Raw genomic sequence first — 24,679 nt, forward strand, 5'->3', positions numbered from 1 at the left:
ACAAGTATCCCAGAACTTAAAGTATTATTTAAAAAAAAAAAATCACCGATTAAAAAAAAAATCTTTAACTTACCTGTAAACAATATTGCAACATTCTACATGGTCCAATAGCAACTCTCAGGCCCTCTAGGGCTCCCATAACTGCCTGAATTACATGAGGAGATGTCTCAAATACATTGGGCCATACATAGTTCAACAAGTGATTCAGCGAATCTTCACAACCAAATCCATAAACCCCAAGTGACATGTGCTGTACCACTGCACTAGCCGTCTGTCTGTGTACAAGGTCTCTACAACGGAAGGGAAAAAAGTCCTTTAAGATGCGGTCTTATAAGAAAGGGGGAAAAATCCTTAAAGATACAGTCTTAGTTTTACAGGAAATATTCACCGGCCCATTAGAAACTAAATTACTAATTCAGTGCACTGAATAGATGTGAAGTCATCTAACATTTCATATATCTAATATATCCTTTAGAATAGCTTCCACTTGAGGACTTTTGCTTTAATTACTCAAGATTCACTATGGCTCAACAATTAAGCCATATTTTCTAATTAACTTTTTTTTTTTTTTTGAGACGGAGTCTTACTCTGTCACCCAGACTGGAGTGCAGTGGTGTGATCTTGGCTCACTGCAACCTCTGCCTCCCAGGTTCAAGCAATTCGCCTGCCTCAGCCTCCTGAGTAGCTGGAATTACAGGTGTGTGCCACCACGCCTGCCTAATTTTTGTATTTTTAGTAGAGACAGGGTTTCACCATGTTGGCCAGGATGGTCTCGATCTCTTGACCTTGTGATCTGCCCGCCTCAGCCTCCCAAAGTACAGGGATTACAGGCGTGAGCCACCGTGCCTGGCCATCTAATTAACTTTTAAAAGGAATATGAGCAGGAGGGCTCTGTGAAGTCTTGGCTTTATTATGCTACTAAAGAGGAGGCATGTGGTTCTAACATATGAATAATAAACAGTAATATTTTAAACTTTTTTCTCTTTTTTAAAATTATTTTTCAGGCCGGACATGGTGGCTCATGTCTGTAATCCTAGCGCTTTGGGAGGCCGAGGCAGATGGATCACCTGAGGTCAGGAGGTCAAGACCAGCCTGGCCAGCGTGGTGAAACCCCGTCTCTACTAAACATACAAAAATTAGTAGGGCATTTTGGCACACGCCTGTAATCCCAGCTACTCAGGAGGCTGAGGCAGGAGAATCACTTGAACCTGGGGGGTGGAGGTTGCAGTGAGTCGAGATTGTGCCACTGCACTCCAGCCTAGGCAACAAGAGTGAAACTCTGTCTCAAAAAAAAAAGAAAAATTATTTTTCTTTTTTATTGTTATTGTTAGAGATAGGGAAGGCCTCGCTATGTTGCCCAAGCTGGTCTTGAGCTCCTGGGGTCAAGCGATCCTCCCACCTTGGCCTCCCAAATCATTTTAAACTCTTGATTATAAACTTAAATCTTTACTAGTACTTCAGATACTGGTATATAATAGGTAACTAAATTAAAGTTAAATTCCCTTCTCACGTAAAGTTTAAGTTTCATTCAATAACTCAATTTGGGGAGAGGAACAAAAGATCAATAATTTTTTCAAACCTACAGAAATAACTATCATCTCCTATGTTAACTGAATTTATGTTCATGAAAAATCAATGAGTTATTCATTCCACAATTATTCAACCAAGTATGAGCTCGCTGGCTAACACAATGGGATTTGCAATGGGTATGAAAATGAGTTTCCAGGCCGGGCACGGTGGCTCACGCCTGTAATCCCAGCACTTTGGGATGCCAAGGCGGGTAGATCACGAGGTCAGGAGATGGAGACCATCCTGGCTAACACGGTGAAACCCTATCTTTGCCAAAAATACAAAAAATTAGCCGGCCATGGTGGCACACGCCTGTAGTCCCAGCTACTTGGGAGGCTGAGGCAGAAGAATCACTTGAACCTGGGAGGCAGAGGTTGCAGTATGCCGAGATCATGCCACTGCACTCCAGACTGGGTGACACAGCAAAACTCCGTCCAAAAAAAAAAATGAGTTTCCACACTTTGCTCCAAAGATAGTAACACAGACCATATCAAAGAGAAAAGAGAAAAATACTTGTATTTACTAATATTCTTGTTTTTCCTATTTATTTTAATAATGTCATTCAGCATAAGAATGAAGCAGTATTCCTCATTAATAAAATTTCCAACTGAAGTATTCTTTTCATTTAGTAATTTTCAATGGAATTACTCCCTTAACTTCTTAGTACACAGAAAAAAGTTTTTAACTGCAGGTGACATACATTAATGACTGCACTATGGTGCTCAGGCACTTCTCACTAAGGAATACAGAGCAAGGGTGATTTACCCTCATTTTTTTTAGCCCTGGGCAGCCAGGCTTTTACAGAGCACAATTCTTACTTTGTCTCCATGTCTTGCATATATACGTTCTGGTAACTTGTCGAGTCCAGTTAAGTCTCCCTTTCAGAAGGTTATTAATGAATAACTTAAATCTGTACACAAAAGTATTTGAATGGGCTCTGATTTGAGTAACTTATCTCTCCTGAAAAATAAAGAGCCAGTGAAACAGTTCTTTCCCTTACTACGCTTGCACTTTCCTTTGCACTTTCTTCAGTTACTTCTGTGTTTAAGGCTGTACGTCAGTCTAGATGGTAAAAGGTATTAGCAATCTGTCAAATAACTTGAACAGTACTCTACTGGTGGTCACCATCTGAAACACCAGGGACCTGCAACAGGAAGAGTGTAGTTCTGGCAGGCTATTGTTCAGTAATTCAAAGGCTTAAGAGAAACCTGTCCTTTACCTGCAACAAAAAGCTAAAAAGATCAGGTCTCTGCCCATTAGCTTCTGCTCATCATGTCCTCTAACTATATTTGACCAATTTTGAAAACAAAAGATTATCAATCAACCCTTTTCAAAATTTATTTAATTCAATAGATAAGAAAAGAGATTTAAAGGGGATGGGAGAACTTGAAAGAAAGTCTGGGGAATCACTACAGCGTGCACATTATTTTAAAATAATAAGTCATATTTACAATGTCCTAAGACTCCAGGCTAGCAATTTTTTCTTTAACTATGTTACAGTAAAAAGTCATCTAATAACTATTTCACGATGTTCTAAAATGAAGGAAGAGTTATAATTATTTTCTTGTATTTAGTTCAAGTCACTTACCTATCCATTAAAGCATCTTCAAGTAACGGTGTTACGGCATAAATGTAGTCTTTTCCCATTTCACCAATATATTCAAACAAGAAGGAAAGCGATTTTAACACTCCATTTTGAACATTCAGTTCAGGAACTCTGTATTCATTCATTAAGGCAGGGAGTACTGTAAAGGGTGAACATGTTTCTGCAACAATAGCTATTGCTACAGTGGTACAAACTCTGTTCTGCCTTTCTTGAACTTTGAGGTTGTTCAGAAGTGTAGCCAATACATCATGAGGGCTGAAAAAAACAAATGGGTCAACAAGCTGTTACATTATAAGTCAAAAATTTATGGAAGAAAAAAATGCATAAAGATGAAAACTTTTAAGTATTAATAATTACAGGGAACTCAGTAATTTTATAAAATGCAATACTTTCAAGTCACTGGCATTGTTGTTTCTATATAAAAATTTCATATAAATTAAAAGGTCAGTTTAAAAAAGTTGACTCTGAGAAGATCAGAGGTCATAGCTGTACAAATTCTAAACATTTTAAGTTAACTCAATTTTCAAATGTAATTTTCAGTTCTTAAACTTTCTGAAATATAAAGAAATTTAACTAAATGTTTAAAGTGAGTAATTCTCTGAGTTGTCAAAATGGGCACTAGAACTAGGTAGGAGTGGTGAGGGGAATATCCGAATTGTAGTCTCCCATTATAAACCATATAAAATCTCTTTTCCTTTTATCTTTCCTCCACACAATTTGCTGCATCTATTTGCCTCTTCTTTGACATAAACTTAGAGGGACATTGGGGCTAAAAGCTTGCACAAAAGCTATTCTTGCAAATGTCTTGACTCCATCACCACTGAAATAAATATTATGCTACCAAAATAGGAGAGGAATGAGTATGTGTTAGGGGAGGGGGTGTTGTCTGGTATAATTCTACCTAATTAATCAGACATTCACATGTCATATTCCTTGAAAACATTTTCTTAAGCCACATGGACATGTGGTGTCTCGTTTTCTACAATGACTGTTTTTTCCTATTTTAGTTGTGATGGAGTGGAAGCAAACCACCACAGATTATCTCACAAAGCAGCTATAATTCAGTTAAATCCGTGGAGTAATGTTAGAATAGCATTTTTGTTGTTTTTTTTAGAGACAGGGTCTCGCCCTGTCGCCCAGGTGCCCAGATGCCCAGGTTGGAGTGCAGTGGCACAATCACAGCTCACTGTAACCTTGAACTCCTGGGCTCAAACAATCCATAATAAGATTTTTAAAACATATAAAGCATTAATATGAGACTTAAATGATGTTGTGAGACTAAAAACTTGCCTTAATAGTTTAAGCAATATCCTAGAAGACCAGCACACATTTTAAATTTTTCTGAAAATGGTACTGTTTCCCTCCCTGAAAACACCTAAAGTGTAATTAAAGTAAGTCTTAAACCCTTCCATCTATTTTAATTAAGAATTTAAGACTACAGGCTGTGCGCAGTGGCTCACGCCTGTAATCTCAGCACTTTTGGAGGCCAAGATAGGTGGCTCACTTGAGGCCAGGAGTTCGAGAACAGCCTGGCCCACATGGTGAAACCTCATCTCTACTAAAAAATACAAAAATTACCTAGGCGTGATGGTGCATGCCTGTAGTCCCAGCTACTGGGGAGGCTGAGGCAGGAGAATCGCCTGCACCTGGGAGGCGGTGGTTGCAGTGAGCCGAGATTGAATCACTGCATTCCAGCCAGGGTGACAGAGCGAGACTCCGTCTCAAAAAAAAAAAAAAAGAATTTAACAATACATTCCAATAATCAGAAGGTCAGTGGTTAAATGAAGAGCTTTCTCAACTGCATTATTCAGACCATGCCTCAAAAGAGATTTCTACATGGAAGTATTTTCCAATACCACAATGCATTTATTATAAAGTAATTTTTTTTTAATGGAAGTAAATAACACTCACCCAATGGCCTTTGCAATATAACCAAATGTGTTGACTGTGGCTCTACGAATAGCCTTTTTGTGGGCTTTTAAGAGCTCTAAAAGCTCAAAGCAAATCCTCATCCACTCTCTTGCAGATACATATTCAGCTCCCCTAATTTAAAAAATACACATATTAATTATTGTGACATTAAGAAAAGTTTTAAGGATAAATTTGCAAATTCAGTTCTAAAAACATGATTAACTCATTTTAAGCATTAAATAAAACTTACTACTCTTCAGAAAGGCTGAAGAGTTAGTCTTACAGGTTTAGTCCTAAAATTACATTGCCACCCCCATTACCATCCAAATTGAAATTTGACTGAAAATATTAATACTGGATAGCCTAATCTTTTACACTTATATTAGTGACATTAAGGAAATTTTGCTAATTGAATACAAAGTGGCCAAATTTGAAAATTGATACTGCTTATAAAAATGTGTGGGTAATCTGCTTACCTGTCAGCAATACGACCAACAAGATCAATACAATTCTCTTGTACTTTTTCATGTCTGTTCTTTAAGATGGGGGTGAGTCTAGGCAGCAGATCTTTAATTGGTGGAGTCATCTTATGCATACCTATTTAATAGAAGTCAATAAACTATCAACATTTGAATTGCAACTTTTGTTCACTTTCCTTTTACTTAGCAATGTCATATATGACTATGTATAAATATAAACTTACAGCTGCCTAGGGAAAGAGAAAGCCCCAGATTCTGACCAGACTCAGAATCGTTTTTAACTTTTATTAACAATTTTTGATTATGTATAGAAATGAAAGAAATCAGTGAAGTGATTTAAAGGATGATGGATACTCAATAACAAAAAAGTTTTGTTTGATTCTGAAATATATTTGTGCACTGACATTTAAATATGGGGACAGCTTATGTTCCGGCCATACACAACAATATAAGCCAGAGGTAAACATGTAAATAAAGCAAAAATTTCCAGAAAGGGCCCCCTTACCCTTTAACTGCAAAACAAACAGATCTCCAGTCTCCCTGCAATGCAGGGCATACTTGGATGGTATTTACACCTACGAAGAGAGAAAAAAGGAGGCAGCTGGCAGGGGCTCTTGCTCTAACTAGAATCACTTGCTCTGATTCTCTCTCCATTGCTCTTCCCATGCCTCTCTGACAAACAATATGGTTTAAAACTCCCTGCAAACCAGAGCCCTACAAGTGGCCATGTAAATGATTTCTGGCAAGTAGCTATCTTCAAGTATAGAGGATAGGGTTGCATTGGAGATTATATGCAAATACAATAGTTTAAACATGTGTATCGCATAAATACCTCTTACAAAATGAGGAAAAACAAACAGTGGCTCTCTCACAGTCAGCTATTTTGACTTCTGCTAGGTTATCAGAGCCTCTAAACTCTGCAGGAGTTACATTTGGCAACAGTTATAATCAATTTAAAAAAAAGATTAAATATAAGAAACCATTTGTTTTCTTCATACTGCCCTAATGGAATAAAAACTTTGCTCTCCATATCCAAGACCATTTGTAATATAGCTGTATTACGGGTTAGAAAACTGAATGGACAGTATTTAAAACTTGGGTATGTAAATAAAGACAATAATTTGATCAGTTCACTTTTCTCTGATTATATTCCTTGAAACTGATCACAAGCAAAAAACCTGTCATAATCGCTAATTCAAGGTTTAAATATATATATATTGTTCTAAAACTAAATTAAAACTTTAGGATTGCCTTTTCACCCCGCAGCAGAACATGGCAGAATATATTTCACCTGACACACTATTTCTACTAGGGTCCTGTATTCCATGACTTCAAAGCTTTTTGAGCTGTGACTACTCCCACCTCTCATGTAGGTCCTAAACTTACCCTTTTTTTCTCTTTAAAGTAAAATATAAATGGGTTTTGGGAAACAAGACTTTTGTGACATCCCCCGACTTAACTACAATCTTGAAGTGCTTTTAAAAAGCTAACAAAAACCTCCCAACTCCTAAATAAGATTTTACTTACGAAAAAAAAAAGAAAAAGAAAGTTAAAACAAGAAAAAGTCTTATGTAACCAGCAAATTCCATACCTATGACATTTACAATGGCCTTCAGTGCTCCAAGAATGCTGCCCAATACTTCAGGGTACTCTTCACCCAAATACTCATACAATACAACACCCAAGTGTCCCATCAATTTTTCCTATAATAAAACAAATAATGTTAAAATGTTACTATTTACATTAAACTATTTGGGGAAGAAGTAAGAATTTGATGCAAAAGTTTACCTCTTGACAAGTCTTCATGACAACAGCAGTTCGAGAAATCAAGTCAGCTGCCTGTTGCCTAACTTTAGCAGATTTGTTATTTAAACGCCACAAAACTGTACCACAGATCTGAGGCAAGTATGGTTTGACTCGTTTGCCAAGAGCATTAACCACTGTGCCAAAGCCGTTCAACATTACTGAGTCCTAAAAAATAAATTTAAAAAAAAGACATATTCATTTGGTTTATGACTGCACAGTTGAAATACACTAAGAGTCAACCTTTTCTAACCACCCAAACATCTGTTGCTGTTTTTTTACATCAAATCTTAAAACTTGAGGTAGAATAATATCGTTTGGTAACCCCCTGAGCATTTTAAAAATTACTTCAAATTCAATTGCATTCTAGAAAAATTTGCTTGACAACTAATATGCTTTTCTACAAATATTAAAGTTAGTAGCAATGTGCCATAATAGTTTTCATTACCTCTGTAGTCTGTTCTTGGAAAGCATAAAGAATACCATCAATCAGTTGTTCTTCAAGTTTATGATCAATATCTGCTGCTCCCAAATTACCCATAATTTTCTCAATTGTCTCCATCACCATTTTTCTGTACTGTTCGGCTTCATCTTTCAGATCATCCACAATCCTGGATATAATTTCTGCTGCACCTACTTTGTTTGCCAACTCCACAGTAGTATCAACTAACTAAAAAGAACAGAAAAACAAAAAACCTTTTAGACTGCTTTTCCAAGGAAATAAAGCAACATCATGAAAACCAAATACTCTAAATATACTACTTATTTAGCTAATAAACATGGTAAGAATGATTCATTGCTACTTATTAAAGTTGAAGAGAAAAGTGACCAAACATCGAAAAATGAGTATAAGTTAACATGATTCAAGGTAAAACTGTGTCCATGTTTCATCTAGCCAGATAAAGCACTGAATGTACCAGACAAAAACATCAATTCACAGTTAAGTATTAATCCTCGAATCCAAAATCAAAATGGAAGTTAACTGGCTGACTAAAATCCATCTCCTTTCATAATCAAGCACATATAAACTGTGAGATAATCAAGGCAAAAAATAATATACAACATGCATTCAAGTTGACTAAAGAATGAGTTGAAAGGACTTTTGAGAATATTCTTTTACAATAAAAGCTTACCTGTCGGTAATTTCTTCTATCCAAAGCCATCCTGTGCTGCCAGAAGTGTTTAAAAAAGGGAGGAAGAATCTCTGTTTTAATGTAGTTTGCTTCTACACCATCTGTCCCACAACACTGTTTTACCACCTAAAAGGTTAAGAAATAGTAATAATAAATCAACTGACCTGAAATGAAGAGAATACTCATTGCTGATTACGTGATTTTAAAAAATAAAATTTAAAAACAAATCAAACAGTATTCGTGTAACATACAGTTTTTTTTGTTGATTTTTAAAAACACTTTAAAATTCTGTTAGAACCATGAAACATATCCAGTTTACATTAACAAATCTGGAATAATTACCTTCAGCACAATTTTTTTCATTTCCTCATCAGGAGACTGGAATTCTCGAATAAGGATTAACATCACTTCTCTAGTATAGTAGTTGGCATATTCTGCATCCATAAGAGGAATAAGATACCCAATAGCCTTCAAGAAAGCAGCCAAACCCTATTTTTAAATAAAAAATATATGTACTTTAGTAATTTAGATTTATGTCGCCTTAACTTTAATGAAGATAAATCAAAAGGTAATTGGTGGATTTACCTTTCCTCTGTGTTGGCGGATACCCTTCCATAAAGGCTTTAACACAGAATCAAAAGATTCGATACCATAAGGAGTTGCTGCTTCAGCCAAGGCAGCAATGGCCAAAGCACTGATGGTCCGAACTTTCTGCTGCTCATCCACAAGACCTACAAAACCAAACACAGGTTTTAACTATGCCCCAACATTACCTAAGTTACACAATATCATCCAGATTCTCTCAATATATCAACTATTCAGCCAAACTGCAGAATATGTTCACATTAAACAAAATTAGGTAAAAGCAAAACATGAACCATAGCCTGTCAGCAGATAATATAACAAACCCATCATAAAATCTATAGTTTGTAGAGCTATGCCTTTCCATTTATCTCCCCAAATCAGTAGCCCAAATTTTAGGACAGCTGTCCTATTAAACATGGACAGGCTGTGTGTGTACCTCTAGTCCCAACTACTAAGGAGGCTGAGCAGGAGGATCACTTGAGCCCAAAGGTTTGAGTCCAGTCTGGGCAACATAGTAAGACCCTGTCTCCTAAAGAAAAAAAAAAAAAGACAAAGTTACATTACAACTTACCATGTTCAATGATTTCAACTAAACTTCTAAGATGTGGCAAGATGGCACAGCCCATAAGAATAGCTATCTGTTGTACAATCTTAATACCAGTGTGTCTCGCTTGCCAGGACTTCTTGCTTTTGCACACAGCTTTTAAGAAGGGCAATAAAGAAGGAATGCCCAGGGCAGAGGCTACAACAGCAAAAGCTCTAGCTGTTGTGTTACGGACATACTCATCCATGTTATCTATATCAGGTCTCATGGTAGAGATCATAGTAGCCAGACCAGCAGCCTAAAATGTAAACAAAGAAAGGACAGTCATGAGTTGGTAATATTAATCTTCAACCATTTCTTTCCATAATCAATTCCATAAACAGATATAAATTTTCTTCTCTAGAAATTAAATGTAAATACCTTTGCCAAATTAGAAATGATCTCTCGGCCTTCCACTCTAGCATAGTAATCTTCATCAATCAATAGCGGTTCAATGACCACGAGGATCTGAAAAAGAGAAAAGAGAAGAAGCTACACTTTCACATCAATTACTGATGAAATGCTCATGTACAGAATTAAACATACATAAGAAATTTAGAATTATCAGGACTTTTGTTAATCAAGGGACGAACTGTTTAAGAATTTTAATTATACAAGTTCAAACTCCAGACAGAGATGAAAATTTAAGAGAGCTATTAGTGACACACTAATATTCAATATTTTTTAAAGAAATAACTTATACACCCTATGAACATACTGCACCATAATTACCATCGGTGAAAAAACTGGTTCTTAATACTAACTGGCGTTAGTTCTCATATGTTCTCATCCTAATCTAATTTTAATAAAAGCAAATGAAAAAATTAAATAATATGAACCTCTTACGGCAAAGATGACAAAAACTAACATCTGTACATCTGTATAAAACTGTATTTGTACATGTATGGTGTGTACTTGTGCAAAGGAAAAGGTCTAGGAGAATATGTAAATTTAACATTGATTAACTGAAAAAGTTAAAACTTTAAACTATCAGAAACACTATTAAGGAGAACAAACCTTATGCACATATGGACGAACTAAGTCATCAAGTTTGTACAGTATCCTATCAATAACTTTCACAAGTAAATGACGCTCTTGATCCTCAAGTGTAGGAGACATCAGCAGAGGAAGAATCTGATTAAACAAAGGACCAGCTCCAAATTCACGAGCTTTATCAGTAATCTGACGCAATGCAGCCTGGGAAAAAGAGCAGAGTAATAGGTGTGGTTTCTTTATAATCAAACATTTTGAATGAGCAAATTACTCAAAGAAGATTTTCCATACTTTAATATTTTAGTGTTTACTTTTACACACATTTTACATAGACAGCATGAGTTCATTTCCATCCAAATTACTCTGGAATTTCAATTCCTGTGATAGAAATTTTATGTTAACTCAAAAGAGTAATTTAATAGAACGAACCACAGAGGTATGTACTAAATGCCTTCATTTCCCTGAAGTATCTTCCATTTCCAAGGCACATATAGTGTTAACATAATCCCTCACATAATTTCACTAATTATCTTCAAGCTTTAAGCATATTTTAAAGGCCTTAAGAACAAAAAGGAGAATCTCATTTTTCAGCATTTTTATTAGCTTTTTTAACCAAAGAATTTTGTGCTAACTCCAGCTGGGCACGGTGGCTCACACCTGTAATCCCAACACTTTCGGAGACTGAGGCAGGAGGATCTCTTGAGCCCAGGAGTATTTAAATAATAATAAAAACAAACGGCTGGGCATGGTGGTTCACACCTGTAATCCCAGCACTTTGGGAGACCGAGGCAGGTTAATCATTTGAGGCCAGGAGTTCAAGACCAGCTTGGCCAACATGGTGAAACCCCGTTTCTACTAAAAATACAGAAATTAGCAGGGCGTGGTGGTGCACGCCTGTAGTCCCAGCTACTTGGAAGGCTGAGGCACAATTGCTTGAACCCAAGAGGCGGAGGTTGCAGTGAGCCAAGACTACACCACTGCACTCCAGCCTGGGCAAGAGAGCAAGACCCTGTCTCAAAAATATATATATAATATTAATAATAAAAACAAGCAAAAAAGTTAAATCCTTCACACTACATAAATTTTTTCCCCTCATGCTATGTCCTTGATAAAGATGAAGACAGTAATTATAAATTCCTAAACACAAAAATATAACACTACCAAAAGTTAATTTTTTATGGGGAAGGCTTTCTAAATAACCTTTACCAATTTGGGCTATTTGGGAGAGTAAAGGAAAGACCACACTCCACAGCGGGCTATACCAATAGTTCACTACTATTTTGTGGTCTACATTTCCTGGTGAAAAAATTAAAAACATTTTTAAAAATATAAACATGGCCAGGTGCAGAGCCTCACACCTGTAATCCCAGCACTTTGGGAGGTAGGCCAAAGCAGGAGGATCACTTGAGACCAGCCTGGGCAACATGGCAAAACCCTGTCTCTACAAAAACTACAAATTTTTTTTAATTAAATAAATAAGCAACAAACATGACAATTTAACAAACTGGGACTTACCTTTCTCATTGGTGGTGTTCCATTCTTAATTTTTAAAAGCAACTTCATTATTTTTCTCTCTTTTTGCTCTTCTGGACTAAGTGTTGATTCATCAACATCAACCTATAGTAAAAAGAAAAAAATGTTAAGGGAAGTTGAAATGTTATGATTTATAATTCTGGAACACAATTAATAGTTTATTTCTGCTAGTATCACTTACCAATAGTTTATCAAAGTATTGAATATCATCAGGTTTTAAAAATGGAAGATTTCCAGATGGCTGGTCATTAACACTTTTCATAGTTCGATCTTCAGTTTGCATGTGGAAACCAGTCATACCACCCAAAGGTGTTGGAGTAGCTGTCAGCTTTCGAGCTGGAGTTCGAATAGGAACATAACCAGCTGGAGGAGGAAGTACCTAATAAAAGTTATAAGACAGTTTAGGATTTTCTTAACTTAAAAAACAGCATAATGAACAATATTTGCACTTAAAATATTTTAGTTTATTAGCTAATAAGGTTTTTATTTGCTTGGAGACAACATCTATCTTGCTTTTCTATCTTAATTAGAAACTTAAAATATATACTTCTCATCCACTAACTGATTATATCCGTGGTGTAGGGAACTGAGGAAACACAAGAGAAGAGCTTAGAAAATACTAATCACATTCAAACATGTTGTGGGTCAAAATGTCAAATTATTAAAAATTTGAAAATTATAAAATCTGAGTCAGCAATTCCAAAAAATGCTGTAGTCGAGCAAATAATGTTTCATAAGATTTATATAAAATGGAAATAAGCTCATATGGGGCATAAAACATAAAAAATTATATTTTAGTATTAAAATGTCACATAAATTCTTGCACTACAAAATCTTTTAAGTGTAAAACTCTACAAAAATTAGTTAAATGCATAAAAACTAAAACCAAAATGTTTGCCAAAGCCCTATAAAATACACACCACCTGATCAAACCTTTTGCAAAACGAGTAAAATTTCAAAAAATGCAGGCTGAAAATCACAAAGAAATTTTTTTTTTTTTTTTTAAAGCTGGTAACAGACTTCAAAAAAAAAAAACAACTTCTGGACAGGCCAGGATTACAGCACTTTGGGAGGCTGAGATGGGAGGAACGCTTGAGCCCAGGAGTTTGAGACCAGCCTTGGCAACATGGCAAGACCCCATCTCTATTTTATATAATTTAATATATAGTAAAAGAAAAAAAATACAACTTCTTGGAGAGGTCAATAAACCTATACACGTCTTCTCCAGTGAGCCTAAAATTGTTTTGTCTATTAAAGATTAAATTATGTTAAATTTATATTGATGCTATCTGTACTTTGCACAGATATTTTTTGTTGCTAGTTAACGTCTGCACCAGCACAGACCACTAAGCATTTTGGATAAAGTGGATACTCTAAAGATGTGAGGCCTAGAGAAATCAATGTCAAGTCCACAGGCATCACTTGCCATTAAGGATTTAAAGGTCTACTATATTTTTATATTCACTAGTAAGGACGTTGCTTATTAGTAGGATTCACTAAGGGAGACTTTTCCTCCTAGTGACACTAAGGAAATCAATGACTACGACTGAGAAAGACATGCAGGCAGTCAACAGTAAGTTCTGTCTATCTATACCCACAGTTCTATCTATACCCACAGCATTATGTGGAGGCTACAAAAAGCTTTAAGGCAAAACTTCATGCAAACTTGAAACAAATACTCTAACACAAATAACAGGGGATCAAAAACAAAACAAGGCTGGACACAGTGGCTCATGCCTATAATCCCCAGCAGTGTGGGAGGCCAATGTGGGTACTTTGAGCCTAGGAGTTTGAGACCAGCCTGGCAACACAGTGAGACTCCCGTATCTACAAAAAATAAAAAAATTAGCCAGGTATGGTAGTGCATGCCTGTAGCCCCAGCTACTCAGGAGGCTGAGGCAGGAGGATCACTTGAGCCCAGGAGTCCAAGGCTGCAGTGAGCTATGTCAGCGCCACTGCTCTCCAGTACGGGCAACACAGTGAGACCCTGTCTCTAAAACAAAACAAAACAACAAAAAACATACTCATGAACTGTTAAAAATCAATAGTCATTAACAGAAAAAGCTCTGTAAAGGCCATCAGATGACTTACAAAGTTATCTGGTTCCCCCTGGTTATGATGTCAGCTATACGACCACAGACTATCTTCAGACTAACAAATACTCCCTGAGTACCAGGTACCTAGAAAATTTTATAGTTCAAAATAAATTTTAGGTTGATATGATAAAAAGGCCAGGCACGGTAACTCACGCCTGTAATCCCAGCACTTTGGGAGGCTGAGAGGGACGGATCACTTGAGGTCAGGAGTTCAAGATCAGCCTGGCCAGCATGGCGAAACCCTGTCTCTACTAGAAATACAAAGATGAGCCGGGCATGGTGGTGGACACCTGTAATCCCAGGTACCTGGGAAACTCAGGCAAGAGAATCGCTTAAACCTGGGAGGCGGAGGTTGCAATGAGCCGAAATCACGCCACTGCACTTCAGCCTGGGCAACAGAGTGAGACTCCATCTTTTAAAAAAAAAAAAAAAAAAAAATTCTTTGTGTCCACTGACAATCCATAAACTTAAGTATATAAAATCTTGGTGAAGCACCAAGTAAAATAACCACAATCTCAACGAGCTTATTCCTGGGACTGCTAGAAAACTGAAGCACCAGCAGTTCTCAAAGTATAACCGATAGACCCATACACAAGTCTTTGAGATGTCTTTCAAAAAGTAATAAAAGTTTCATGTTGTTCATTTCTTTTCATCTCTATATGGAACTGAAATATACCTGGAAATAGCTAAGAGAATGGAATGACAATAGTAAATTTGGGCAAAGCCAATGCAAGCTTAATCAATTTTTTTCACTATTTAAAATAAATGTATATCCTAAATACCACCTCATTCAAATTTGATGTACTACCTTATATCCTTCTGGGAACATAGCATCTAATTCCTCATCAGAAAGTGGGCGATTTCTCTCATCAATTTCTCTTTCCCACCGCCAAGCCTGAAGCTGTTCAGGAGTCATACTCATTATGTGACCTACCAAGAAAAGCAAATTTTTATATAATCTATAGTACAAGACTGTATTATTACATACATTGAGATAAAAGACAGTTAAGATCAATCCTATTATTTGCTTTTATATTATAAACGCAAACCAAGACTTAAATTTGTATATCTCCTTATTCTTACTAGAAGTTGACATTAATAGTACACAGAATACCACAAAGGAAAAAATTAAATAATTTATGGAGAAAAAAACAATTATGTCCAATGAGACAGTTCTACCTGGAGTAGGGGTAGCCATGTTCATGGCTGGTGTGCCAATTGGTGTCTTTCCAGGGGTCAGAACTGGAGTGCTTCCACCCATCTGACTAGCTGGTGTTTCATCCCACCGTGATTTTCTTTTACTGGCTCCAGGAGTCGGTGTTTCACCAATAGAATCTCCACCTCGATCTGTTCGAGGAGTCTCAGCCCATCCACTTCCATGCCCAGGAGTATCTTTAAAAAGAAAGAGTGAGTAAAACCACAATTTTAATCACTGTTAAAATAATATTCTTTATTCTCAAACAGTTATACTCAAAACTATCAAGTTCTAAAATAGAATATTCCTAAAATGGTGACCCATTTAAAGTTGTTTGAGACCAGCCTGATCAACATGATGAAACTCTGTCTCTACTAAAAATACAAAAAGTAGCCAGGTGTGGTGGTGGGCGCTTGTAATCCCAGCTACTCAGGAGGCTGAAGCAAAAGAATCACTTGAACTGGGGAGGCAGAGGTTGCAGTCAGCCGAGAGCGCACCACTGCACTCTAGCTTGGGTGACAGAGCAAGACTCCATCTCAACAACAACAACAAAAAAAGTAAATTTGATGTTATGTACATTTTTCCATAATAAAAAACAAAGGGTAAGTCAGGCACAGTGGTTCATGCCTGTAATTCCAACACTTTGGCAGATCACTTGAAACCAGGAGTTCAACACCAGGCTGGGCAATGAAGCAAGACATTGTCTCTACAAAAAATTTAAAAATTAGCCAGGGGCCGGAAGCGGTGGCTCATGCCTGTAATCCCAGCATTTCAGAAGGCCGAGGGGGGCAGATCATCTGAGGTCGGGAGTTCGAGACCCGCCTGACCAGCATAGAGAAACCCCGTCTCTACTAAAAATACAAAATTAGCCGGGCTTGGTGGCGCATGCCTGTAATCCCAGCTACTCAGGAAGGCTGAGGCAGGAGAATCGCCTGAATCCGGGAGGTGGAGGTTGCAGTGAGCTGAGATCGCGCCATTGCATTCCAGTCTGGACAACAAGAGCAAAACTCCATCTCAAAAAAAAAAAATTAGCCAGGCATGGTGGCATGCCCCTATAGTCTCAGCTACTAAGAAGGCTGAGGTGGGAAGATCACTTGAGCCTAGGATGTCAAGGCTACAGTGAGCAAGACCCTATCTCTAAAGAAACACACAAAATCAAAGGTTACAGCCTACTAACTTTACTTTTACCTAAGGTTCTTCCTTAAATCTTAAACCACTTCAAGAAGTGGAAAAAATTAGGCATATGAACTGTTCTATTCTTAATCTGTCCCCCAAAAGCAGCTGGTTATTTATACGTGTCCACCCAGGAATAAACAGAACACATTTCAGTCTGTAAACATATCACTCAACATTTCACCCACACACCCATACTCCACTAGAAGTACCTCTCTCTGTTTTGGGGGTTTCATCCCATCTGTTTTTACGAGCACTGGAAGTTGCGCCTCCATGGCCTGGTGTCGCATGGCCTGGTGTATCACCTCGTCCAGGAGTAGCAGCTCCCGCTGGTGTGTGGCTAGGTGTAGGATCCCATATTTTTGAGCCTGGGGTTGCTCCAGGAGTCTCGCTTCCCTTTGCACGACCTGGTGTCTCATCCCATCTTAAGGAAGGAGTATGCCCAGGGGTCTTAAAAAAGCAAAAAAATTTTATTTCACACACCCACACAGAAATAATTAGAAAATTTCCATAAAATAAAAAACTTTAAACGAAAAATGTTTTAGTTCTATGCACTATAATTAATGAAAAGTTAGAAGACACTACCTCTACTTATAGGAAAAGATACCTACTTTCTAGCAAATGTTTATGATTAAAAACAATGTAAAGTTTCAATCCGAAGCACTGACAAAAGTCCCAGCTTAAAAAAACAAAATATTATCGATATGAATCTTTGATATGCCATTAATAGCTCTGTGACTGGGGGAAATCACTGAGGTTTCTCTATCTAGATCAGTAATCGAAGGCTTTCAGCTCTAATTACATTAGTACTTCTCAAAGTGGGGCTTAGAGACACATATTTAGGGGAGAAGGAATTCGTGTGTTCTAAGAAAATAGTCCTGTTGATGTTTTGTTTAATTGTGTGTGTTTAATTAATATAAACATGCTTTAGATCACCTATGTAATTTTTTTTTTTTTTTTTTTTTTGAGACAGAGTCTCGCTCTGTCACCCAGGCTGGAGTGCCGGGGCATGATCTTGGCTCACAGCAACCTCTGCCTCCCGGGTTCAAGTGATTCTCCAGCCTCAGCCTCCTGAGTAGCTGGGGTTACAGGTGCCTGCCACCACGCCGGGCTAATTTTTGTATTTTTAGTAGAAACAGGGTTTCTCCACGTTGGTCAGGCTGGTCTCGAACTCCTGACCTCGTGATCCACCCACCTTGGCCTCCCAAAGTGCTGGGATTACAGGCGTGAGCCACCGCACCAGGCCCCACCTATGTAATTATAACCAGATACCGTCACATGATTTCAATCTTGAGATCAGTTTGTATGTACAGTTACATGTGTACCAAATAATATTACCCTAGCTGATGCTGGCAAGATTAATGAAAAAAGATGAGAGGTGGATTTTCATTTGTTTTTTGACACAGGGTCTCACTCTGTCGCCCAGGTTGAGTGCAGTGGCACAATCACGGCTCACTGCAGTCTCCACCTACCAAGCTCAAGTGATCCTCCCATGTCAGCCTCCTGAGTAGCTGAGACTACATACAGGCGCACACCACCACACCCAGTTAATTTTTTATTTCTTGGAGAGATAAGAGTCTTACTATGCTGCCCAGGCTGAGAGGTGGGTTTAAGTAACATCAAGGGTTCCACAGTAGTTCAAACAGAGAGTAATAGTTGGACAACTGACTGCATGTAATAGCAAAAGAATCTCCACCAATAAAGATAGTATCATATCAAAGTAGCATAGAGTTGAGTGTAAAGAAAACAAAATTTGTACTTATATACTGCCTCGTAAGTATTCCACAGGATGTGTAATGTACTTTATATATTTGTTTTAAAGTTGGGAGCTCTTGGCCGGGTGCGGTGGCTCACACCCGTAATCCCAGCACTTTGAGAGGCCGAGGCGGGCGGATCACAAGGTCAGGAGATAGAGACCATCCTGGCTAACATGGTGAAACCCCGTCTCTACTAATACAAAAAAAATCAGCCAGGCGTTGTAGCGGGTGCCTGTAGTCCCAGCTACTCGGGAGGCTGAGGCAGGAGAATGGTGTGAACCCGGGAGGCAGAGTTTGCAGTGAGCCGAGATAGCACCACTGCACTCCAGGCTGAGCGACAGAGTGAGACCCCGTCTCAAAAAAAAAAAGAAAAAAAGTTGGGAAAGTTGGGAGCTCTTATAGACACAAGGACTTCATCTACCTTTATGTTTGCAAATTTGCATGGTACCATTAAACAAGTTTAAGACTCAATAGTTTTTCCCTTAAAAACATACTACTCAGGGCTGGGCATGGTGGTTCATGCCTGTAATCCCAGCACTTTGGGAGGCCAGGCAGGCAGATCAATTGAGGCCAGGAGTTGAGACCAGCCTGGCCAACATGGCAAAAGCCCATCTCTACTAAAAATAAAAAATAAAAATAAATAAAAATAGCTGGGTGTGGTGGTGCACACCTGTAATTCCAGCTACTCAGGAGGGTGAGGCATGAGAATTGCCTAAACCCAGGAGGCGGAGGTTGCAACAAGCCAAGATCACGCCACTGCACTCCAGCCTGGGTGAGAGTGAGACTCTGTCTCAAAAAAAAAAAAAAAAAAAGATTTTACTATTACTCAGGGTTGAAAAATTCTGGATTAGGTAAATAAAGCACACAAATTGTTTAAAATCTCCATTCTGGCATCTGTCCCTCCTGCTGAATTATAAGGAAAGGTGGGAAATGAATTCTATTATCTATTGTAATTCCTACAATTATGACTAGGGTACAGTTGTATTAAATGAACAGAATTTTTAAAAAAGTCTGAGTCTCTGATTTAATTTATTTATTTATTTATTTATTTATTTATTTGAGACAGAGTCTCACTCTGTCACCCAGGCCAGAGTCCAATGGCGCAGTCTCGGCTCCCTGCAACCTCTGTCTCCCGGGTTCAAGCGATTCTCCTGCCTCAGCCTCCTGAGTAGCTGGGATTACAGGTGCCTGCCACCACACCTGGCTAATTTTTTGTATTTTTAGTAGAGACGGGGTTTCACCATGTTGGCCAGGATGGTCTCAACCTCTCGACCTCAGGTGATCTGCCCGCTTGGCCTCCCAAAGTGCTGGGATTACAGGCGTGAGCCACCGCGTCTGGCCGAGTCTCTGTAGTTTTTATAAGAAAGATATCAGCATATCAGCTCTCATGCCAGGCGCAGTGGCTCACACGTGTAATCCCAGCACCTTGGGAGGCCAAGGCGGGTGGGTCACCTGAGGTTGGGAGTTTGACACCAGCCTGGCCAACACTGCGAAACCCTGTCTCTACTAAAAGTTAGCCAGGCGTGGTGGCAGGCACCTGTAATCCCAGCTACTTGGGAGGGTGAGGCAGGAGAATCACTTGAACCTGGGAGGTGGAGGTTGCAGGGGACCAAAATCATCACTCTAGTCTGGGTGACAGAGCAAGACTGTTGTCTCAAAAAAAAAAAAAAAAAAAAAAAAAGATATCAGCTCTTGTGTCTAGTTATGTGCATACAGTTAAACAATTAACAGGAGGACAAACTTCTTTCTCTTTCTCAAACTTAGTACTGAATGTCATCCATAGAATTAAAGTTACTAGTTACTTGGCTGGACATGGTGGCTCATAACTGTAATCCCACCACTTTGGGAGGCCAAGGTGGGGGGATCACTTGAGGCCAGGGGTTCAAGACCAGCCTGGCCAACATGGAGAAACCCTGTCTCTACTAAAAATACAAAAATTAGCTGGGCGTGATGGCACATGCCTGTAATCCCAGCTACTTGGGAGGCTGAGGCACAAGAGTCACTTGAGTCTGGGAGGCGGAGATTGCAATGAGCTGAGATTGCACCAATGCACTCCAGCTACCCATGGGTGACAGAGCAAGACTCTGTCTCAAAAATTAAAATTAAAATTAAAAATAAAGCTAGTAGTTACTTATATTGAACAGAACCAAATCCCTCCTACATATAACCAAGCAAATGAGAAGTCCTCACCTTAAACTAAATTGTTTAGAAATTATGTATTAGGTTTTATATATCCCTGTTCTGGGTTTGGGGAAATACTGCATGATCTGATAGGTTTTTTCTTGGTTTATAAATTAAATCTATAGCAGTCTAGGCTAGAGCTAATAGTGATTTAGACTAGGATGGTAGAGGCAGAGATCATGAAAAGTGGCTAGCTCTTTAATATATTTAAAGGTGATGCCAAGAAAATGTATATGGGTAGGATATGGGGTAAGAGAATAAGGAGTATAGGATGACTCCCTAAATGTTTTTTTGTTATTGTTGTTCTTGTTTTGTTTTGTTTTTTTTTTTGAGACAGAGTCTCGCTGTGTCGCAAGACTGAAGTGCAGTGGCACGATCTCCTCTCACTGCAACCTCCACCTCCCGGGTTCAAGTGATTCTCCTGCCTCAGCCTCCCAAGTAGCTGGGATTACAGGTGCCCGCCAACATGCCGGGCTAATTTTTGTATTTTAACTAGAGTCGGGGTTTTCACCATGTTGGCCAAGCTGGTCTTGAACGCCTGACCTCAAATGATCCACCCACCTTGGCCTCCCAAAGTGCTGGGATTACAGGCCTGAGCCACTCTGCCCAGCCCTTAATGTTTTGCTTGAGCCAAACAGACACAGGAAAGACCAGGGGAGCAGGACTGAGAAGACATGTATGCGAAGAAAATCAATAATTTTCTTTTAGAAATACTGATTTTGAAATGCCCATTGAACAGCCAAATAAATACGTCAAGCTGAACAAATACGCAAGTCTGCGGAACAGAAGCAGAGGACAGATTTGTAAGTTTGGCAGCTATCTTATACAAACGGTACATAAAGACAAGAATGAGATCCTAGGGATTGAGCACAGATGGAAAAGAATCCAAAAGACTCAGCACTACTATAACACCCCAAAGTTCAGAGGTAAGAAGAATGAGGATCCAGCAAACAAGACTAAGGAGTAGTAGCCACTGAGATTTTGAGGGGAAGCAAGAAAGACTAAAACCCAGAGACTGAGAGAGAAAAGGGTATGAAGAAATGTCAAATATTCTTGGTATGCTAAATCATGTGAGAAATGAAAATACACTTTTTAAATTTATCAATTAGGGGCCAAGTGACCTTGACAAGAGATTTTAGGTGGAATAGACTAGAACTACATAAAAAGACTAGAAATTACATAAGACTAGAACTATGTAAGCAGGGAAAGCAAGTACAAACAACTCATTCAAGGCATCTGTGGCTCATGCCTGTAATCCCAGCACTTTGCAAGGCTGAGGCAGATGGACTGCTTAAGCCCAGGAGTTTGAGATCAGCCTGGACAACATGGTGAGACCCGTTTCTACAAAAAAATAAAAAACTAGCCAGGCATGGTGGTACGTGTCTATAGTCCCATCTACTTGGGGGGTTGAGGTGGGAAGATCATTTGAGCCCAGGAGGTGGAGGCTGCAGTGAGCTATTATTGCGCCCCTGCACTCCAACCTTGGCAACAGAATGAGACCCTACCTCAAGAAAAAAACAAAGAACAAAGCACTTTGTTCTAAAAAGATATAGAAACAGGATTGTAGCTGAATGCGGATGTGAATGGGGTTAAGAGATGTTTTCTGCAGGTTTTTTGTTGCTGTTATTAAGACAAAGCACGATAAAACATGTTTGCTGGTGCTGATAATCTAGTATGGAGAAAAAAATTAATGGTACATGATGAGAGTCTCCAAGAGGGGAAGGGAAATGGTGCATAAGCAAAAGAGTAGCTTTAATTATTTATTTATTTATTTTGAGACAAAGTCTCACTCTGTTGCCCAAGCTGGAACACATTGGCGTAATCTCAGCTCACTACAACCTCCACCTCCCAGGTTCAAGTGATTCTCCTGTCTCAGCCTCCCAAGTAGCTGGTACTACAGGCACACGCCACCATGCCCAGCTAATTTTTTTTGTATTTTTAGTAGAGACAGGGTTTCACTACGTTGGCCAGGCTGGTCTTGAACTCCTGACCTCAAGATCCGCCTGCCTTGGCCTCCCAAAATGCTGGGATTACAAGCGTGAGCCACCGCACCCAGCCGCTTTATTTTTCTAGCAATGATTAAATATTTTCAAGTGCTTTCTAAAAAATCAATTTTAAAGACCTTTCTATTCAGGATAATGACAAACATAATAAAGGCACATATGACAGTTTAACATAATTAGCTACTTTTATGCAGCACTTATATCTTTTAGTCTGCAAGTATATTATTAAATGATAGAAAACATCTAATACAACCATTTCTACAGAACTAGGAAATACATTTCTAAGAAAGATTTTACAGATGCCATCGTTTTGTTTTTTTGAGACAGGGTCTTACTCTGTCACCAGGCTGGAATGCAGCGGCATGATCATAGCTCACTGCAACCTCTACCTCCGGGGATCAAGGGATCCTCCCACCTCAGCCCCCACCACCCCCCATACCCCAGTAGCTGGGACTACAGGCATGCACCACTATGCCCAGCTAATTTTTTTTTTTTTTTTTGTAAAGACAGGGTCTCCCTCTGTTGCCCAAGCTGGTCTCAAACTCCTTGAGCTCAACCAATCCTCCCACCTGGACCCCCAAAGTGCTGAGATTATAGGCATGAGCCAATGCATTCAGCCTCCAAAACAAATGTTTAAAAAAAAAAAAAGGTAGGAGAGTAGACTGGCCAAGAGAAAGGAGTAGCATTGACTATTTGCTGCCAGTAGTGAGGGGCTTAAGTTATCTATCCAGAAGATAAGGAAGACCACTATATCATACTCAACCTCCACAATGTAACATACCTACAGGTCTGTATTTAATATTCTAAAAAGAACTTTCCTTATTCCATAATATGGACTAAATTGCATGCCCCTCAAAATCTGTATGTTGAAGTCCTAACCCCCAGTGTGACTGTATTTGGAGACTGGGCCTTTAGGGAGGTAAATTAAGGTCAAATGGGGTCATGAGGGTGGGGCCCTAATCTAGTAAGACTGATGTCCTCATAGGAAGAGCATGGACAACAGAGCTTGCTGGCACAGAGAAAGGCCATGTGAGGACACAGCAAGAAAGCCCTCAACAAACACCAACCCTGTTGGCACTCTGATCTTGGATTTCAAGCCTCCAGAACTGCGAAAAAAATCAATGTCTGTTGTTTAAGGCACCCAGTCTGTGGTATCTTGCTATGGCAACCCAAGCAGACTAATACAGTCCATAACAGAAAAAAATTTTTTAACAGTAATAACAAAAAACAAAAAGAAATTACCTCTGCCTGATCCCAACTTGATAGTTTTTTGGGAGTGGCACCAGGAGTCTGATCAGCTGTTTGATCCCAACGCCGTTTTCGTTTTGATGGAGGCTGGGACGCTGCTGCTCCATTGACGACTTTTAGTTCTCCAGCTTTAGCTTTTTCTGCTAGCTGTTGCCTAATTTCTCGCTGAAAAAAACAGTGAGTATTTACCTTTAAAATGCTTTCAATGTATTTTTCTACCATTAGCGCAATCACTTCCACTTAACATCCTATTTTATACTTTGCTCATTCTCTTTTCTATGTACTGGTGATCTCCTTTCTACGCTCGCTGGTTCCATAGTCTGTGCGTCTTTATTTCGTTTTACATAATGCCTTTCTAAACAAAAGATAAGCAAGTTCAGAATTCGTAACATAGCACACTGTAGTTTATATACTGGAGGTGAAGTAAAATCTTCAGTCAACAATGGAGAACCATAATGCTTCCACTGAAAAATAGGGTTTTCTTCAAAACTCATATAAATAGCAATTAAGACTATGGAACAAGATAGAAAAATGGTAAAAGATAAAAATAATAAAATTGTTTTATTTATACTGACAAATTATGTAAATATGCATAGTGATAATGGATGCACATTTAATTCACTCTGTACTGTTAAAATGGGGTTTTACCATCCCATTTAACTCATTCAACATATAAAATCTATTATATATTCATAATAGTAATGGAGGAGGCTGGGTACGGTGGCTCACACCTGTAATCCCAGCACTTTGAGAGGTTAAGGCGGGCAGATCACCTGAGGTCAGGAGTTCGAGACCAGCCTGGCCAACATAACGAAACCCCACCTCTACTAA

The 24,679-nt window shown here is 38.7% G+C and overlaps 1 protein-coding gene and 1 non-coding gene across 5 annotated transcripts in view; one reads left to right on the top strand and one right to left on the bottom strand.

Annotated features, from left to right (window-relative positions):
• The window catches only part of SF3B1 (splicing factor 3b subunit 1), a 45,310-nt gene that overhangs the window by 3,115 nt on the left and 17,516 nt on the right, over positions 1 to 24,679 (bottom strand). For 3 of the 4 annotated variants that reach the window (NM_012433.4, XM_047443838.1, XM_047443839.1), the window contains 19 exons: positions 23,843 to 24,013; positions 16,872 to 17,109; positions 15,471 to 15,683; positions 15,100 to 15,221; positions 12,377 to 12,574; positions 12,178 to 12,279; positions 10,687 to 10,866; positions 10,051 to 10,137; positions 9,658 to 9,928; positions 9,087 to 9,232; positions 8,844 to 8,990; positions 8,502 to 8,627; positions 7,817 to 8,038; positions 7,354 to 7,536; positions 7,157 to 7,268; positions 5,563 to 5,683; positions 5,087 to 5,218; positions 3,158 to 3,430; positions 74 to 290 (listed from right to left, as the gene is read on the bottom strand). In NM_012433.4, coding sequence (NP_036565.2) covers positions 74 to 290; positions 3,158 to 3,430; positions 5,087 to 5,218; positions 5,563 to 5,683; positions 7,157 to 7,268; positions 7,354 to 7,536; positions 7,817 to 8,038; positions 8,502 to 8,627; positions 8,844 to 8,990; positions 9,087 to 9,232; positions 9,658 to 9,928; positions 10,051 to 10,137; positions 10,687 to 10,866; positions 12,178 to 12,279; positions 12,377 to 12,574; positions 15,100 to 15,221; positions 15,471 to 15,683; positions 16,872 to 17,109; positions 23,843 to 24,013 — 3,261 coding nt within the window. Of the gene's footprint in view, positions 1 to 73; positions 291 to 3,157; positions 3,431 to 5,086; positions 5,219 to 5,562; positions 5,684 to 6,070; positions 6,141 to 7,156; positions 7,269 to 7,353; positions 7,537 to 7,816; positions 8,039 to 8,501; positions 8,628 to 8,843; positions 8,991 to 9,086; positions 9,233 to 9,657; positions 9,929 to 10,050; positions 10,138 to 10,686; positions 10,867 to 12,177; positions 12,280 to 12,376; positions 12,575 to 15,099; positions 15,222 to 15,470; positions 15,684 to 16,871; positions 17,110 to 23,842; positions 24,014 to 24,679 lie in introns of those variants that run through there. The other variant, XM_047443840.1, reaches the window with a different exon arrangement.
• Positions 11,820 to 11,956, top strand: LOC124900524 (small nucleolar RNA SNORA4). The gene has a single exon (XR_007088716.1). It is a non-coding gene; the product is annotated as a small nucleolar RNA SNORA4 (small nucleolar RNA).

The sequence above is a fragment of the Homo sapiens genome, chromosome 2, assembly GCF_000001405.40.
Source record: "Homo sapiens chromosome 2, GRCh38.p14 Primary Assembly".
In the NCBI taxonomy this organism is placed as follows: Eukaryota; Metazoa; Chordata; class Mammalia; order Primates; family Hominidae; genus Homo; species Homo sapiens.